This window comes from Homo sapiens, chromosome 19, assembly GCF_000001405.40.
Source record: "Homo sapiens chromosome 19, GRCh38.p14 Primary Assembly".
NCBI lineage: Eukaryota > Metazoa > Chordata > Mammalia > Primates > Hominidae > Homo > Homo sapiens.
In genome coordinates this window covers 42,296,077-42,312,612 of record NC_000019.10, presented here as the reverse complement: position 1 = coordinate 42,312,612, position 16,536 = coordinate 42,296,077, and the positions used below count along the sequence as shown (strand labels likewise).

The following is a 16,536-nucleotide window of genomic DNA, read 5'->3' as shown; positions in this document are numbered from 1 at the left end:
CACAGAGAGGGGAAGCCACTTGTTACACCACATGGTGGTGGTGGAGGCTTCAGTATAACCACCGTACCCCTCTGCCTGACCATGACCTGTCACTGCTTACCATGCTGTGAAGCTGGGTTGCTGTGAGAGACAGAGGTGGTAGTGTGAGATAGCCAAAAGCATGTTTCAGATCCAAGTTAAAATAACTTGCTTGGGTTCATTCAAATCCCAGCCTGACCCCTACTTTTTCACTTGTCCACCATAAGACCTGGGCCAAGTCATTCAGCCCTATGATCTCCTAGCCCAGTCCCCTCTATGCAGATATCAACCCTATGGTTTCCCAGTGGACAACAGCAAGCCCTAGAAAGGCTTTTCCAGAGTAGAAGCCATGCCCTTCACCTTGATTTTCCTGATCAGACTCCAACAAACATTTCTAGCTTCATCCTTCTCCACTGCAGAAAACGGGGGCTGCTCAAAATACCATTTTTTACAAATTTTCTAAGCCAAGGGGCCAAGCTGGAAATATAAGTGAAACATTTTTAATGGAGAGCATGGATCCCACAAAGAGGGGGCCTCTGCTACTTGGCCAGTTGTTGCCAGGAAGGATTGTAGTGCTGCTGCCAGATCCTTTTTTATTTTTTCTTTCCTTCTGAAAGAAGCCAGAAATGCAATTTAAAAAAAAAAAGCAAACTGCCTGGTTTGTAACAGTAGGCAATTGATTCCAACATTTAAAACATATCGTGGGTGAAACTAAAAAAAGCCTGTGGGCCAGATTCAGCCCTGATCTGTCACTCCTGCCCTGAGCCTGCACATACACTGTTCCCTGTGTTCACAGACCAGGAGGCGCTCAAGGGCAGGCCCAGATGTGGCTTACTCTAGGTCCCAGCATGGCCTAGGGATTTGCTGAGTGAAAATGGCCCTGTATCTGCTATGCAGCCTCCTCCAGGACTTGCATATGCTGTTCCCCTTGCCTGAAATGTTCTTTTCCTCAAGTACCAAGTTTCCACCACCCTTGAAAAATAGAGGGTTCGCAGGGCACGGTGGCTCATGCCTGTAATTGCAGCTCTTTGGGAGGCCAAGGTAGGAGGATCACTTGAGACCAGGAGTTCGAGACCAGCCTGGCCAACATGGCGAAACCCCATCTCTGCTTAAAATACAAAAATTAGCCATGTATGGTGGCGCACACCTGTAATCTCAGCTCCTCGGGAGGCTGAGGCAGGAGAATCGCTTGAACCTGGGTGGCGGAGGTTGCAGTGAGCCAAGATTGTGCCATTGCACTCTAGCCTGGGCAAGAAAACAAGACTCTGTCTCCAAAAAAGAAAGAAAGAAAGAAAGAAGGAAAGAAAGGAAGGAAGGAAGGAAGGAAGGAAGGAAAAAGAAAGAAAGAAAAGAAAGAAAGAAAGAGAGAAAGAAAGAAAGAAAAACACAGCTCTTCTACGAAGAATTCCCTCCTCACTAGGGCAGCCATCACTCCCTCCTTGGACTGCCCCAGCCCCTGCACCTCTCTTGCTCTCCTAGACACAATCACTGGAGCTGGGGTTGTGTGTGCCGACCACCAAACTGGGAGCCTCATGAGGACAAGGCCTTTGTCTCACTCACTCTGGAGCCCCAGCATCACCAGAGCTCAGGGTCAGGTACACAGTTAGCCACAGTGGGCATATGTGTTGGACTAATTGAAGTCCCAATTTTCCCCACCATGCTGGCTCCTCAGGCCCTATGAAGGTAACAAGCAACAGTACCTTCCCCTCCATCTTGGACCTAGAACTCAGAGCTAAGAAAAGCTGCTCTTCTGAGTCAGCAACTCACTGAAAATCAAGAGGACCATGAAAAGTACTTTATTGAGGTCACTGGGAGTACAAGATATCTGTCCCCAGCCCTAGCCTCAGCCTCTCCTCAGTACAGTCTCATGGGTGGAAAAGACCAGGCTTCCGGACTGCTCTGGGCTACTACCCAGGAGAGGCTGGGCAGTGGGGAAGGGGGGCTGGGGCTCCAGTCCAGGACAGAGGTTCGGGGCAACAGGGGTGATGAAGGCTGAGGCAGGGGCTGAGGGAGGCCAACCCCCCAGGGCCGAGGAGGGGGTGGCGTGGCTACCAGCCAGATGCTTTTTAACAAGTCAAACGCTGTTGGGGGACCCCAGGCTGTTCCAGATGGCGAAGACAGTGAGGGAAAGTATGGTGGCCAGGGACCTCTTGGCGGTGCCAGACTCCCCCTGTGCGCAGTGGGCATGCTGGAGGTGTAGGGCATGGGGAAGGTGAACTCCTTTGTCCCTTGTTGCTTCCTTTGCCTCTCCTGCTCTGGGACTTGATCAGGGCTATTAATCCAGAAGGGTGTCATCTTTCTCTCAGAGACCCCAGGCTTGGCCCCTGGCACAGAGGAAAGAAGCATAGAGGCTAGCTGAGCTAGAGCCGACAAAGGAAAGGGGAGTACAGGGGCAGGAGGGACGCTCACCTGGCAAGGGTGGCTGGCAGCCCCGAAGCACCAGGGCAAGGTCAGGCACACAACCATGACAGGCCTGCAAGGTGTGCACGATGGCATCCCTGGCATCCTGAATCAGGTTCCTCCGGGGGAAGGCCTGTGGCAAACTCAGCTGACACTGCAGCTCTGCCAGCAGCTGCCCCACGCCAGACAACTCTGGGGAACTGGGTGGGCCTGGGCCCGAACCTCCAGGCACCTGGTTCTCTTTGTCCCTGGACCGTGGGGCTGGTTCCTGGGCCCTGCCTGGGCTTGGGGAGGGCTTGGCGGGGAGTGTGGGGCTGCCTGGCACCAGGGTCCCACTGCTAAGCAGCCTTGCAACATCTAGGGATTTCACCTCGTGGTTGAAGAGACCCCGGTGCTCCCGGCTCAGCCGGCCCTGGGTTATGACCACGAGCTTGGAGGCAGTAGGGACCACAGGTGGATCCCGAATGGCCACAGGAGGATCGTGGTGGGCTAATGGCCGGCGGCTGCCCACCAGGGCCTTGTTACGTTCCCGCCTAGTCTTCCGACGACGGACACGACCAGGTTTCTCAGGCTGCTGAAAAGGCTGGGAGACTGGTCCCTGGGTATCCATGGTGTCCTGGAATATAAAGATAGGGTGGCCATCAGCATGCAGATAAGTCAAGGGGAGTAGCAAAGTGAATAGGGAGGGCTGGGCGCGGTGGCTTATGCCTGTAATACCAACACTGGGGTAGGCCAAGGCAGGCCGATCACTTAGGCCAGGTCACTTTAGACCAGCCTAGCCAACATGGCAAAATGCTGTCTTTACTGAAAATACAAAAATTGGCCAGCCGCAGTGGCCCATACCTATAATCCTAGTACTTTGGGAGGCCAAGGCAGGCAGATTACCTGAGGTCAGGAGTTCGAGACCAGCCTGGCCAACATAGTGAAACCCCATCTCTACTAAAAATACAAAAATTAGCCAGACGTGGTGGCATGCACCTGTAATTCCAGCTACTCAAGAGGCTGAGGCAGGAGAATCACTTGAACCCAGGAGGTGGAGGTTGCGGTGAGCTGAGATCATGCCATTGCACTCCAGCCTGGGCAACAGAGCAAGACTCCATCTCAAAAAAAAAAAAAATTAGCTGGGCATGGTGGTGCACGCCTGTAATCCCAGCTACTCAGGAGGCTGAGGCAGGAGAATTGCTTGAACCCAGAAGGCAGAAGTTGCAGTGAGTCACGATTGTGCCACTGCACTTCAGTCTGGGCAATAGAGTGAGACTCCATCTCAAAAACAAAACAAAACAAAACAAGTGAATAGGGAGATGTTTTGGGGTGTGGTGGGAATACTATTTAGAATGACCAGATGAGGCCAGGCATGGTGGCTCAAATCTGTAATCCTAGCACTTTGGGAGGCTGAGGCGGGAGTATCGCTTGAGGCTAGGAATTCAAGACCAACCTGAGCAGCAAAGTGAGACCCTCATCTCTACAAAAAATAAAAATAAAAATTAGCTGGATGATGCCAGGTGTGGTGACTCATGCCTGTAATCCCAGCACTTTGGGAGGCCAAGGCGAGCAGATCACTTGAGGCCAGGAGTTCGAGACCAGCCTGGCCAACATGCCGAAATCCTGTCTCTACTAAAAATACAAAAATTAGCTGTATGTGATGGTGCGCGCCTGTAATCCCAGCTACTCTGGAGGCTGAGGCAGGAGAATCGCTTGAACCCAGGAGACGGAGGTTGCAGTAAGCCGAGATTGCGCCACTGCGCTTCAACCTGAGTGACAGAGTGAGACTCTATCTCAAAAAAAAAAAAAAAAAAAAAAAAAAGCTGGATTCGGTGGCCCACACCTGTAGTCCCAGCTGCTAGGGAAGCTGAGGTAGGAGGATCACTTGAGCCCAGGAGTTGGAGGTTACTCTGAGCTATGATTGCATCACTGTGCCCCAGCCTGGGCAAGAGAGTGAGACCTTGTCTCTTAAAAGAGAGAGAGAAGATGAGAGAAAATAAGTGAGCAGAGAGAGATTGGAAAAGGTTTGGTCAGATAAGGAATCACAGGGGTAAGATGAAGTCGAAGGAGTCACAGCTAATGGGAAGATAAGCCAGGAAACAGAGAGAGGCTATTAGGAACAGGGACATGGGGAAACAGTTAAAAGATGGAGGGTGAGCCGGGCGCGGTGACTCACACCTGTAATCCCAGCACTTTGGGAGGCCGAGGCGGGCGGATCACCAGGTCAGGAGATGGAGACCATCCTGGCTAACACGGTGAAACCCCATCTCTACTAAAAATACCAAAAATTAGCCGGGCGCGGTGGCGGGCGCCTGTAGTCCCAGCTACTCGGGAGGCTGAGGCAGGAGAATGGCGTGAACCCAGGAGGCGGAGCTTGCAGTGGGCCGAGATCGCGCCACTGCACTCCAGCCTGGATGACCGAGCGAGACTCCATCTCAAAAAAAAAAAAAAAAAAAAAAAAAAAAGATGGAGGGTGGGGGCCAGGCGCAGTGGCTCACGCCTGTAGTCCCAGCACTTTGGGAGGCCGAGGTGGGTAGATCATTTGAGGTCAGGAGTTCGAGACCAGCCTGGGCAACATGTGAAACCTCGCCTCTACTAAAAATACAAAAATTAGCCGGCGTGGTGGTGAATGACTGTAATCTCACCTACTCAAAGAGGCTGAGGCAGGAGAATCGCTTGAAATCGGGAGGCGGAGGTTGCAGTGAGCCGAGATCGCGCCACTGCACTCCAGCCTGGGGGACACAACGAGACTCTGTCTCAACAACAACAACAACAACAACAACAACAAAAGATGGAGGGTGGTGAAGGGGTCATGAGATTGGAGGGATTTGGGGGACCAGAAAGTGATTCTGGACGGAGAAATCCAGGGGTAGACGAGGTACAGGGGAATGCAGAAAGTGGAAAGAGATAGTAGAGAAAGAGAAGCAGGAGAGGGAGAGCAGCAAGAGAAGTCTGGAAAGCCTGAGAAAACCTCAAGAGAACAGGAAGGGAGACAGAGGCGCGATCAGGGACAGGGCCTGATCACAAAGGAAGGGCCTAGGGTAGGAGAGGAAGCATGGTGGCCAGCCGCGGTAGGGCAGGGTGGGCAGAGTGAAGGGAGTGGGGTACGGTTGGCAGGAGCAGGGTGTGGGAAGGGCACCTCTCTCGCCCCAACGAACCCCGGCCCTTCCCACTTCACGTAGCTGTGGGGCGCAATGGCTTCTTTTCCGCGGTGACCCCAGCTCTCGAAGTCACCTGGCGCTGTTCCGGGCCTCGGGCTCCCCCACACGCATGCGCGTGCCCTTTCCATGCCCTTTGGCTTCGTGGCTCTGAGAGGACGGAAACCTAGCGGCGCGTGCCAGGGAAGCGCCGGTTATAGCCCCTCCCCTCCCAGCCTCAATTTCAGAAATCTCCCTTTCTTGGTCTCAGCACCTCCCAGCCCTCAATTGGCTGTGAGGTTCACTAGGTCCGCCCCCTTCCTGAATGCTGATTGGTTCAGATAGCTATCAGCGGTCTTTCGAGGGCTAGTTGAGACCAGGCGTGCCAAAGGGAAGAAGGGTCATGGTAGCCCCCATGCACAGCTGTCCCCCAAGCAGCCACAGACATAATCCCTAGAAAACTTATACAGTTGGCCGGGCGTGGTGGCTCACGTCTGTAATCCCAGCACTTTGGGAGGCAGAGGCAGGAGGCTGGCTTGAGCCCAAGAGTTCAAGACCACCCTGGACAACATAGGGAGACCCTGACTACAAAAAATAAATTAGCTTTGGGCGTGGTGGCTCACGCCTGTAATCCCAGCACTTTGGGAGGCCGAGGTGGGCGGATCACGAGGTCAGGAGATCAAGACCATCCTGGCTAACACGGTGAAACCCCGTCTCTACTAAAAATACAAAAAATTAGCCGGGCGTGGTGGCGGGCGCCTGTAGTCCTAACTACTCGGGAGGCTGAGGCAGGAGAATGGCGTGAACCCGGGAGGCGGAGCTTGCAGTGAGCCGAGATGCATTTCAGCCTGGGCGACAGAGCGAGACTCCGTCTCTAAATAAATAAATAAGCTGGGCGCAGTGGCTCTTGCCTGTGGGCCCAGCTACTTGGGAGGCTGATGCAGGAGGATCACTTAAGCCTAGGAGGTGGAGGCAGCAGTGAGCCATGATCACGCCCGCCTGAGGGAGACGGCAAGACCCTGTAAAAGAACAAAAATTAGGCCACATGCATTGGCTCACGACTGTATATTCAGCGACTCAGCAGGCTGGGGCAGGAGAATTGCTTGAACCTGGGAAGTGGAGGATGCAGTGAGCCGAGATCACACCACTGCATTCCAGCCTGGGTGACAGAGAAAGACTCCATCTCAAAAAAAAGTTAGTGTAGTGTTGTGATTCATAGCTAGGCTTGGTTTAAATGCCCAAAATGGCACAACTGGGCTGTGTGACCTTGGAAATGTTTGTAACTGGTCAGACTTAGTTTTCTGACCTGTAAAATTGGGTTGGTAATAAAACTACCTTCCTCATTTGGTTGCTAGAAGGATAAACTAGACCAATATGTCTAACTTGAAATGGGCCTGGTGAATGAAGAATGCCTGGAAGCTTTGTTTCTCACTAAGCTTTGCTTCAGGAACTGCTCCAACTTATCCTCTAAGACTTTATTTTTAAAAATTTTTTTCTCGGTTGGGTATGGTGGCTCACGCCTGTAATCCCAGCACTTTGGGAGGCCAAGGCAGGTAGATCACGAGGTCAGGAGATCGAGACCATCCTGGCTAACACAGTGAAACCTCTTCTCTATTAAAAATACAAAAAATTAGCCGGGCGTGGTGGCACACGCCTGTAGTCCCAGCTACTCAGGAGGCTGAGGCAGGAGAATCGCTTGAACCTGGGAGGCAGAGGTTGCAGTGAGCCGAGATCGCGCCATTGCAGTCCAGCCTAGGCGACAGAGCGAGACTCTATCAAAAAAAAAAAAAATTCTCTCTTATATCACTGACTTGAAGGCATAATTAAGACTTTTTTCTTTTCTTTTCTTTTCTTTCCTTTTCTTTTTGAGATGGAATTTAAATCTGTCACTGAGGCTGGAGTGCAGTGGCACAGTCTGAACTCACTGCAACCTCCACCTCCCGGGTTCAAGCGATTCTCCTGCCTCAGCCTCCCAGGTAGCTGGGACTACAGGCGCAGACCACCTTGCCCAGCTAATCTTTGTATTTTTTAATAGAGATGGGGTTTTGCTATGTTGGTCAGACTGGTCTTGAACTCCTGACGCCAAGTGATCTGCCCACCTCAGCCTCCCAAAGTGCTGGGATTATAGGAGTGAGCCACCGTGCCTAGCTGATTATGACTTCTTTTTTGGAGACAGGGACTCACTCTGTCACCCAACCTGGAGTGCAGTGACACCATCATGGGCCACTGCCACCTCATCTCCCAGGCTCAAGCTATCCTCCTGCCTCAGCCTCCCAACTAACTGGGACTACAGGCACTTGCCCTTTTTTTTTTTTTTTTTTTTTTTGAGACGGCGTCTCGCTCTGTCTCCCAGGCTGAAGTGCACTGGTGCCATCTCGGCTCACTGCAAGCTCTGCCTCCCAGGTTCACGCTATTCTCCTGCCTCAGCCTCCCAAGTAGCTGGGACAACAGGCGCCTGCCACCACGCCCCGCTAATTTTTTGTATTTTTAGTAGAGACGGGGTTTCACCGTGTTAGCCAGGATGGTCTCGATCCTGACCTCGTGATCTGCCCACCTCGGCCTCCCAAAGTGCTGGGATTACAGGCGTGAGCCACCGCGCCCAGCCTTTTTTTTTTTTTTTTTTTAGACAGGGTCTCACTGTGTTACCCAGGCTGGTCTCAAACTTCTGGGTTCAAGCGATCCTCGCACCTCAGCCTCCCCAGTAGCTGGGACTACAGGCATGCATCACTGCACCTGGCTCCCTCAGACTTTATTTGTTTGTTTATTTTTGTAATTAAGACAGAGTCTCGCTGTGTCACCCAAGCTGGGCCACTGTTGCCCAGGCTGGGCTGCAGTGGCGCGATCTCAGCTCACTGCAACCTCTGCCTCCCAGACTCAAGCAATTGTCCTGCCTCAGCCTTCCCAAGTAGCTGGGACTACGGGCGTGTGCTGCCATGCCTAGCTAATTTTTTTTTTTTTTTTGTATATTTAGTAGACACGTGGTTTCGCCATGTTGGCCAGGCTGGTTGACCTCAAGTGATCCGACCATGTCAGCCTCCCAAAGTGCTGGGATTACAGGCATGAGCCTCCATGCTGGCCTCCCTCAGACTTTAAAATCAAGCTATTCCACGATATTCCCCAAACCTAATAAGAAAGTGATTACCTGTGTCTTTTCTTTCTGCTTGCCCATTCTTCATTATCTTTCAGACCCAGCTGAGATACTACTCCTAGGAAACCCATAGTCCTCAGAGTCCTTCTCCTCTTCCTCCCCAGAGGTCCCTGTCTCTCCCTCAAACACAACTTTGACACCCCTACACCTCTGTGTCTGGATCTGTCTCCCTAAACACATTGGGACAAGGTCAGGAGCTGACCCACTCATTTACTACTCATTCAGCAAGCACTTGTGGAATAACCACTGTGTGCCCGGCCCAGTTCCAGGAAAGTGGATTGAAAACATAAACACAATGAATAACACTCATCTCTGTCTCAGTATCAATCCACCTCGAAGGAATGAATACATGGGAAGGTCCCACCTGGAGTGAGGCTACAAGAACATGACCAGGACGTTTAGCAGGGAGTGAGCCCCCCACCTGGTCCCAGAGAAGAGGGAGATCTGAGAAGACACTGAGGTCTGAGATTAATTTGGGGCAGCGTTGGGGGAGAGGCGCGACCCTAGGTGGCCTTGGCTATGGATGTAGGTTTCAGAGCTCAGACATACCCAGTTGGCCTGTGGGTTTAGAGAGAGTGTAGAGGCTGCAGATCTGCAAGATGATCTGCCGGAGGGACGCCAGACTGGACCTGAGCCCTGGAGGCGTCTCTAATTTCCTTTCTCTTTCTGCACCTTCTTCTACCCTCCAAGCAGGTCCTATGGTGTCTTGAATGCAAAGATATGTAGTTTATATGTTATGCCACGCGCGCGCACACACACACGGTGTTTTGAGTAGGGGTCCTGTGATGTCTTGAATGCAAAGATATGTACTTTAGATTTCAACACACACACACACACACACACACACACACACACACACACACCCACGGTGTTTTGAGTAGGGGAAGCCCACGAGTAGATAGGCTCACTAAAGCCCTGGCGCGGCCTTAGAGTGGCTCCTTAGAAGGGAGCCTCGAATTTTCACATTTTGTCATCTTCCTTTTCTGTCCCCCACATCAGTAGAAAATAGGAGCGTCCCCCCCAGCCAGGTGCATTCGAGCCACCCCTTCAAGGGAATATAAGAATGGACTCGTCCACTCGCTCCCCTCCCCCCACCACGTGAATGGGTCACCCCCCCCCCCGCAACAGTAGGTGGTCCCTTCCGCACATTTCACTCTGTACAGCAAATGGTTTCTTCCCATTTGCTAGACAGAGGGCTAGATTTTCCCCGCCCACTCTCGACTCTTCAGGTAGTTCGCCCCTCCCCGTGACCGGTGGGTGGTTTCTCCCTCCTCCCCGCCTCGGGAGCTGGATGGTCTCGCCTCTCCCTCCCCCCACCCCGTGCCGGGTGCGCGGCCTGGGAGTCAGCGGCCCGAGCGGGAAGCGCCGGGCGAGCCCACTGTGCGGCCGTCGTGGGGGAAGCGAAGGTTCCTGATTCCACCTACCTCCTAAGTGAAGGCTTCCGTCCCTGGAGAGGAGGCGGCGCCCTGTATCGGCCTTCGTCCTCCGCGGGTGTGCTAGCGTTGGGACGGTCCTTTGTTGCCGCGAGGGGTAGGAGTGGGCGTGGCGGAGCCAGCTCCGTTCGGAACACTCCCGGGCCGACCCGACTCGCTCATCCTGCAGGAGCTGCGGCGCCAAGATGAGTGGAGAGGAGAACCCAGCCAGCAAGCCCACGCCGGTGCAGGACGTACAGGGCGACGGGCGCTGGATGTCCCTGGTGAGCGTTCCCACCTGGGATATTGAGGAGTCCGGGGGCGCGGGGGGTGGCTCAGGAGAACGGCTGGTTCGTGCCACTCTCACTACCTGATTGGGAAACTGAGGGCAGTTGAGGAGGCGCTGCCTAAGGGAGCAGGGCGGGGCGGGCCCTGGAGCGTGCATGCCATTGACTCCCTCTCGCGCGCTCCCGCAGCACCATCGGTTCGTGGCTGACAGCAAAGATAAGGAACCCGAAGTCGTCTTCATCGGGGACTCCTTGGTCCAGCTCATGCACCAGTGCGAGGTGAGGGCAGTCCCTCTCCCCCTGCCCCATCCAGCCCTGTGTCCATGCTGACACATCTGGACCAGAACCCAGGCCAGGTGAGGTATTATGAGAGTACCCAGATTGGCCTCAGGCAGCCCGAGGCTCTGAGAATCTTGGTGTAAGGTGCAACATTCTATTGAGAAAGAAATGTATGCCTTGGTTTTATCAGATTGGATTTGTGTATAATGTACTAAGACCTAAAATGAGGCTTTCCTGCCATAGGCTTGCCTAAAGTGAGGCTCTTTCTTGTTTGCTTTAAGTAGTGCGCAGCCCTGTTGGGTTTACACAAAGCTATAGTCACTTTACAGGAAGCGAAGGGCAACTCTAATGGCACTCCACAAAGAGGACTCAATCATAATAATATCTTTCCACAAAGCATGTCCAACTGTAATGGGTTTCATCAAAATAAGTTTCAACTGTAATGCCATTGATTCAATGCATGGCTCAAGCAGACTGGATTTTCATGAAGTGAGTCTTGCTTCTATGGGGCTTGGTTTGTTTTGTTGGTTGGTTGGTTGGTTGGTTGGTTTTTGAGACAGGGTCTTGCTCTGTCACCCAGGCTGGCGTGCAGTGGTATGATCTCTGTTCACTGCAACCTCTGCCTCCTGGGCTCAAGTGATCCTCCCACCTTAGTCTCCGAGTAGCTGGGACTACAGGTGCACATCACCATGCACCTGGCTAATTTTTGTAATTTTTGTAGAGATGGGGTTTTGCCCTGTTGCGCAGGTTGGTCTTGAACTCCTGGGCTCAAGCAGTCCGCCCACCTCAGCATGAGCAACAGAGCCTGGGGCTTGGTTTAAAGTGAGAGACTCTAGGCAGGGTGTGGTGGCTTACGCCTGTAATCCCAGCACTTTGGGAGGCCAAGGCAGGCGGATGACCTGAGGCCAGGAGTTCGAGACCACCCTGGCCAACATGGCGAAATCCTGTCTCTACTAAAAATACAAAAATTAGCTGGGCATGGTGGCACATGCCTATAGTCCCAGCTACTTGGCAGGCTGAGGCAGGAGAATCGCCAGAACCTGGGAAGCAGAGATTGCAATGAGCCGAGATCGCACTACTGCACTCCAGCCTGGGCAACAAGAGCAAAACTCCGTCTCAAAAAATAAATAGGCTGGGCACCATGGGCTCACGCCTGTAATCCCACCACTTTGGGAGGCCGAGGCAGGTGGATCACCTGAGGTCAGGAGTTCGAGACCAGTCTGGCCCACATGGTGAAACCCCATCTCTACTAAAAATACAAAAAATTAGCTGGACGTGGTGGCGTACACCTGTAGTCCCAGCTACTCAGGAGGCTGAGACATGAGAATCACTTGAACTAGGGAGGCGGAGGTTGCAGTGAGCCGAGATAGTGCCAGTGCACTCCAGCCTGGGTGACAGAGTGAGACTCTGTCTCAAAAATAAAATAACTCTGTCTCAAAAATATAAAATAAAATAAAATAAGTGAGAGACTCTAATAGATTTCTATAAAGTGAGGTTCAGCCATGCTGGAGTTTGCTCCAGGTAAAATTTTAAGACTGCTTCCATGAAGTAAGGTTCTTCCATAATGGCATTTGGTTAACACCTGGACAGAGGGGGATGGTCCATGCGGACAGTGCCCTTGTGCCCCTACCACTTCTTGCCCACACCACTTCTTGCCCACAGATCTGGCGCGAGCTCTTCTCTCCTCTGCATGCACTTAACTTTGGCATTGGTGGTGACGGCACACAGCATGTACTGTGGCGGCTGGAGAATGGGGAGCTGGAACACATCCGGCCCAAGGTGAGCGGGGCTTGGGTGGGGCTCTAAAACATCTTTTGGCTGCCCCCTCACCGCTGCTTCATGTCTCTTTTTCCACAGATTGTGGTGGTCTGGGTGGGCACCAACAACCACGGACACACAGCAGAGCAGGTGACTGGTGGCATCAAGGCCATTGTGCAACTGGTGAATGAGCGACAGCCCCAGGCCCGGGTTGTGGTGCTGGTGAGAGGCTGGGAGAGTGGGAAAGGAAGAATGGCAGTGGTCTGGGACCCCCTCAGATATAGCCACAGTTGGCACAGTTCTAGGCAGCTTGACATAGAGCAGTGGCTTTTAGGCAGAATCTCACGTTGGAGCTTGCTATACCCTTCAGAGTGGCTGTGGTTGAGAATATGCTCCGAGACCAATTAGCCTTTTTTGCCCAGGGATGGCTTAAGACTTTGGGGGTATTGAAAAACTAAAAAACGGGCCAGGCACGGTGGCTCACGCCTGTAATCCCAGCACTTTGGGAGACCGAGGCAGGTGGATCACGAGGTCAGGAGATCAAGACCATCCTGGCTAACACGGTGAAACCCCATTTCTACTAAAAATACAAAAAAAAATTAGCCGGGCGTGGTGGCGGGCACCTGTAGTCCCAGCTAACTTGGCAGGCTGAGGCAGGAGAATGGCATGAACCTGGGAGGCGGAGCTTGCAGTAAGCTGATACTGTGCCACTGCACTCCAGCCTGGGCGACAGAGCGAGACTCCGTCTCAAAAAAAAAAAAATTAGTTGGGCATGGGCTGGGCGCAGTGGCTCATGCCTGTAATCCCAGCACTTTGGGAGGCCGAGGCAAGCAGATCACCTGAGGTCGGGAGTTCAAGACCAGCCTGACCACACGTGGAGAAACTCCATCTCTACTAAAAATACAAAATTAGCTGGGCGTGGTGGCACATGCCTATAATCCCAGCTACTTGGGAGGCTAAGGCAGGAGAATCGCTTGAACCCAGGAGGTGGAGGTTGGGGTGAGCCAAGATTGCACCATTGCACTCCAGCCTGGGCAACAGGAGCGAAACTCTGTCTCAAAAAAAAAAAAAAGCCGGGTGCGGTGGCTCACGCCTGTAAACTTGTAATCCCAGCACTTTGGGAGGCTGAAGAGGGTGGATCACAAAGTCAGGAGATCGAGACCATCCTGGCTAACAAGGTGAAACCCCGTTTCTACTAAAAATACAAAAAATTAGCCGGGCGTGGTGGCAGGCGTCTGTAGTCCCAGCTACTTGGGAGGCTGAGGCAGGAGAATGGCATGAACCCGGGGGGCGGAGCTTGCAGTGAGCCGAGATTGTGCCACTGCACTCCAGCCTGGGCAACAGAGCAAGACTCCATCTCAAAAAAAAAAAGAATTAGCTGGGTATGATGGTGCGCAAAACCTGTAACCCCAGCTACTTGGGAGGCTAAAGGAGAAGGATCACTTGAGCCCAGGAATTCAAGGTAACAGTGAGCTGTGATCATGCTACTGCACTCTCGCCCGGGTGACAGAGACCCTGTCTCACCAGAAAACAAAAGAAAAACCCTCAAAAAACCTTGAATAGGCCAAAAGTTGTCAGGCATTCCTGGGGTAAATCTAGGCTCCATCACTTGTAGGTAGCTAGGATATTTCCTCTTCTGAAAACGGATTGATCCCTTGGCATGAGCCATGATGTTGATATCTTTTATTTATTTATTTATTTTGGGACAGAGTCTTGCTCTGTTGCCAGGCCAGAGTGCAGTGACGCAATCTGGCCTCACTGCAACCTCCTCCTCCTGGGTTCAAGTGATTCTCCTGCCTCAGCCTTCACAGTAGCTGAGACTGCAGGCGCGTGCCACCACACCTGGCTAATTTTTGTATTTTTAGTAGAGATGGCATTTCACCATGTTGGCCGGGCTGGCCTCAAACTCCTGACCTCAAGTGATCCACCCGTCTCAGCCTCCCAAAGTGCTGGGATTACAGGCGTGAGCAACCTCCCTTGGCCTATTTATTTTTTGAGACAGGATCTGGCTCTGTTGCCCAGGCTGGAGTGCGGTGGCATGATCTCAGCTCACTGCAACTTCTGCTTCCAGGGCTCAAGTGATTCTCCCACGTCAGCCTCCCGAGTAGCTGGGACTACAGGCACACGCCATCATGTCCCACTAATTTTTGTGTATTTTTGTTAGAGATGGGGTTTCACCATGTTGCCCAGGTTGGTCTCGAACTCCTGGGCTCAAGCGACCTATCCAGCTCTGCCTCCCATCATGCTGGGATTACAGGCGTGAGCCACTGAACCTAGCCAATGTCAACATTTTTCTAAGTGATACTTGGAAAGAGGCTAGGCCGCGCATGGTGGCTCACGCCTGTAATCCCAGCACTTTGGGAGGCCGAGGCGGGCGGATCATGAAGTCAGGAGATCGAGACCATCCTGGCTAACACGGTGAAACCCCGTCTCTAATAAAAATACAAAAAATTAGCCGGGCATGATGGTGGGTGCCCGTAGTCCCAGCTACTTGGGAGGCTGAGGCAGGAGAATGGCGTGAACCTGGGAGGCGGAGCTTGCAGTGAGTCGAGATCGCGCCACTGCACTCCAGTCTGGGCGACAGAGCAAGACTCTGTCTCAAAAAAAAAAAAAAAAGAAAACGAAAGAGGGTAAAACCCAGAAGTCTCTTGCTAAATGAGGGCTAGGATGTGATATTTAGGAACTACCCTCCCACCCTCCCCACTTGCCCATCCCTAGTGTTTTCTGCAGCTGGAAACTTCATGGTGGTGGGTGGAGGACAGGTTGGCACAGAGAACAAGATACTCAAATGCTTGTTTCCTTACTACGCCTCGTGTTCCTGCTCAGGGCCTGCTTCCGCGAGGCCAACATCCCAACCCACTTCGGGAGAAGAACCGACAGGTGAACGAGCTGGTACGGGCGGCACTGGCTGGCCACCCTCGGGCCCACTTCCTAGATGCCGACCCTGGCTTTGTGCACTCAGATGGCACCATCAGCCATCATGACATGTATGATTACCTGCATCTGAGCCGCCTGGGCTACACACCTGTTTGCCGGGCTCTGCACTCCCTGCTTCTGCGTCTGCTGGCCCAAGACCAGGGCCAAGGTGCTCCCCTGCTGGAGCCCGCACCCTAAGCATCCTGCTGCCTTCCCACAACATTAAACTCTCCTTCCTCAGTGTGCTGTTTCCTGCTTTATGGTCGAACCTGTCTGGGTATCTGGGTACCACCATTAGTCCTTATCCTGATCTGTGACCCTGCAGTTCTGCAAGGTGTTTTTTGTGTGAGACAGGGTCTCTCTCCGTCACCCAGGCTAGAGTACAGTGGTGAGACCACAGCCCACTGCAACTTCAACCTCCCAGGCTCAAGTGATCCACCCACCTCAGCCTCCTGAATAGCTGCTACTATAAGCATGTGCCACTAGGTCCAGCTTATTGTATTTTTTGTAGAGAAGTGGTTTTGCCATGTTGCCCAGGCTGATCTGACTCCTGAGCTCAAGCAATCCACCTGCCTCGGCCTCCCAGGGTGCTGGCATTACAGACATGAGCCACCATGCCTGGCTGTGGTTCTATTTCTGCCCAGGGCAGGTATCACTGATCCATTAAGGCACTGTGATTCTTGTGGTTAGGTTAATTTCCACTATCACAATAGTGTGCTTCAGGCAGGCGTTACCAATCAGTAAACACTAGTTAAGACCAGCTTTCCAGCACTATCCTACAGGACCAAGCTCAGGCAAGAATTCTGGGAACATAGTGACCCAGTGCATATGCGGTTGCCCTGGCTGGAACTTCCTGGTGCTCCATCTCTAGCTTAGATGCCACTTCTGTGGAGGTGTCCTGACCCTCCCACTCCTAGTTGTCATCCCTCCACACAGGGTGTAGGTATCTTGTCACCTCAGGTGGGCACTGTGTCCACATGCTGAGCAGGAGGGGTGTCACCCAGGGGAGGTTCCTTCAAGCCCAGTTGCAGTGCAGGCCCAGGCCACATGGGGGCAGCAGGGGTCACACTGAGGACCAAGGGTATTCCAGGTAGACTAGGCTCCCTCCCACCCACTGCCACCTCTGGGCTAGGACCTCTTGGGACCTGTTTCCTGAGTACGAATGACCCCAGAGCCAGTGAGGGTAAACCATCCAGTGG

General features: G+C 52.9%; 2 protein-coding genes across 13 annotated transcripts, besides 5 other annotated features; one reads left to right on the top strand and one right to left on the bottom strand.

Annotated features, from left to right (window-relative positions):
• Positions 1–1,798: 1,798 nt before the first annotated feature.
• PRR19 (proline rich 19) lies at positions 1,799–10,481 on the bottom strand. 7 transcript variants are annotated; one of them, XM_011526789.3, is made up of 4 exons: positions 5,540–5,588; positions 3,854–3,880; positions 2,428–3,034; positions 1,799–2,342 (listed from the first exon to the last, which is right to left on the bottom strand). In XM_011526789.3, exons 3-4 carry the CDS (start codon positions 3,026–3,028, stop codon positions 1,873–1,875), a joined length of 1,071 nt encoding a protein of 356 aa, XP_011525091.1. In that variant the 5' UTR covers positions 3,029–3,034; positions 3,854–3,880; positions 5,540–5,588; the 3' UTR covers positions 1,799–1,872. The 7 variants fall into 7 exon arrangements, with proteins under 7 accessions (XP_011525091.1, NP_954979.2, XP_006723217.1 ...); NM_199285.3 differs by lacking the exons at positions 3,854–3,880; positions 5,540–5,588 and adding an exon at positions 10,110–10,481; XM_006723154.4 differs by lacking the exons at positions 3,854–3,880; positions 5,540–5,588 and adding an exon at positions 9,235–9,489.
• Positions 9,648–10,302: an enhancer, noted in NCBI's record as "H3K27ac-H3K4me1 hESC enhancer chr19:42806463-42807117 (GRCh37/hg19 assembly coordinates)". NCBI's record gives its function as "activates a minimal SCP1, AML or CMV promoter by ChIP-STARR-seq in naive H9 embryonic stem cells {active_cell/tissue: H9 hESC(naive)}" and the evidence as "EXISTENCE:reporter gene assay evidence [ECO:0000049][PMID:30033119]".
• Positions 9,648–10,384: a biological region, named in NCBI's record as "H3K27ac-H3K4me1 hESC enhancer GRCh37_chr19:42806463-42807117".
• PAFAH1B3 (platelet activating factor acetylhydrolase 1b catalytic subunit 3) lies at positions 9,813–15,580 on the top strand. 6 transcript variants are annotated; one of them, XM_017026848.1, is made up of 6 exons: positions 9,813–9,914; positions 10,288–10,381; positions 10,574–10,663; positions 12,326–12,442; positions 12,521–12,604; positions 15,248–15,580. In XM_017026848.1, the coding sequence occupies exons 2-6, from the start codon at positions 10,304–10,306 to the stop codon at positions 15,533–15,535; spliced, it is 657 nt and encodes a 218-aa protein (XP_016882337.1). In that variant the 5' UTR covers positions 9,813–9,914; positions 10,288–10,303; the 3' UTR covers positions 15,536–15,580. The 6 variants fall into 6 exon arrangements, with proteins under 6 accessions (XP_016882337.1, NP_001139412.1, XP_016882336.1 ...); NM_001145940.1 differs by having other exon boundaries at positions 12,521–12,643; XM_017026847.2 differs by lacking the exon at positions 9,813–9,914 and adding an exon at positions 9,989–10,176.
• Positions 9,875–10,094: a silencer, noted in NCBI's record as "silent region_10706". NCBI's record gives its function as "represses an Ori minimal core promoter by ATAC-STARR-seq in GM12878 lymphoblastoid cells {active_cell/tissue: GM12878}" and the evidence as "EXISTENCE:reporter gene assay evidence [ECO:0000049][PMID:35858748]".
• Positions 10,255–10,384: an enhancer, noted in NCBI's record as "active region_14714". NCBI's record gives its function as "activates an Ori minimal core promoter by ATAC-STARR-seq in GM12878 lymphoblastoid cells {active_cell/tissue: GM12878}" and the evidence as "EXISTENCE:reporter gene assay evidence [ECO:0000049][PMID:35858748]".
• Positions 10,465–10,514: an enhancer, noted in NCBI's record as "active region_14713". NCBI's record gives its function as "activates an Ori minimal core promoter by ATAC-STARR-seq in GM12878 lymphoblastoid cells {active_cell/tissue: GM12878}" and the evidence as "EXISTENCE:reporter gene assay evidence [ECO:0000049][PMID:35858748]".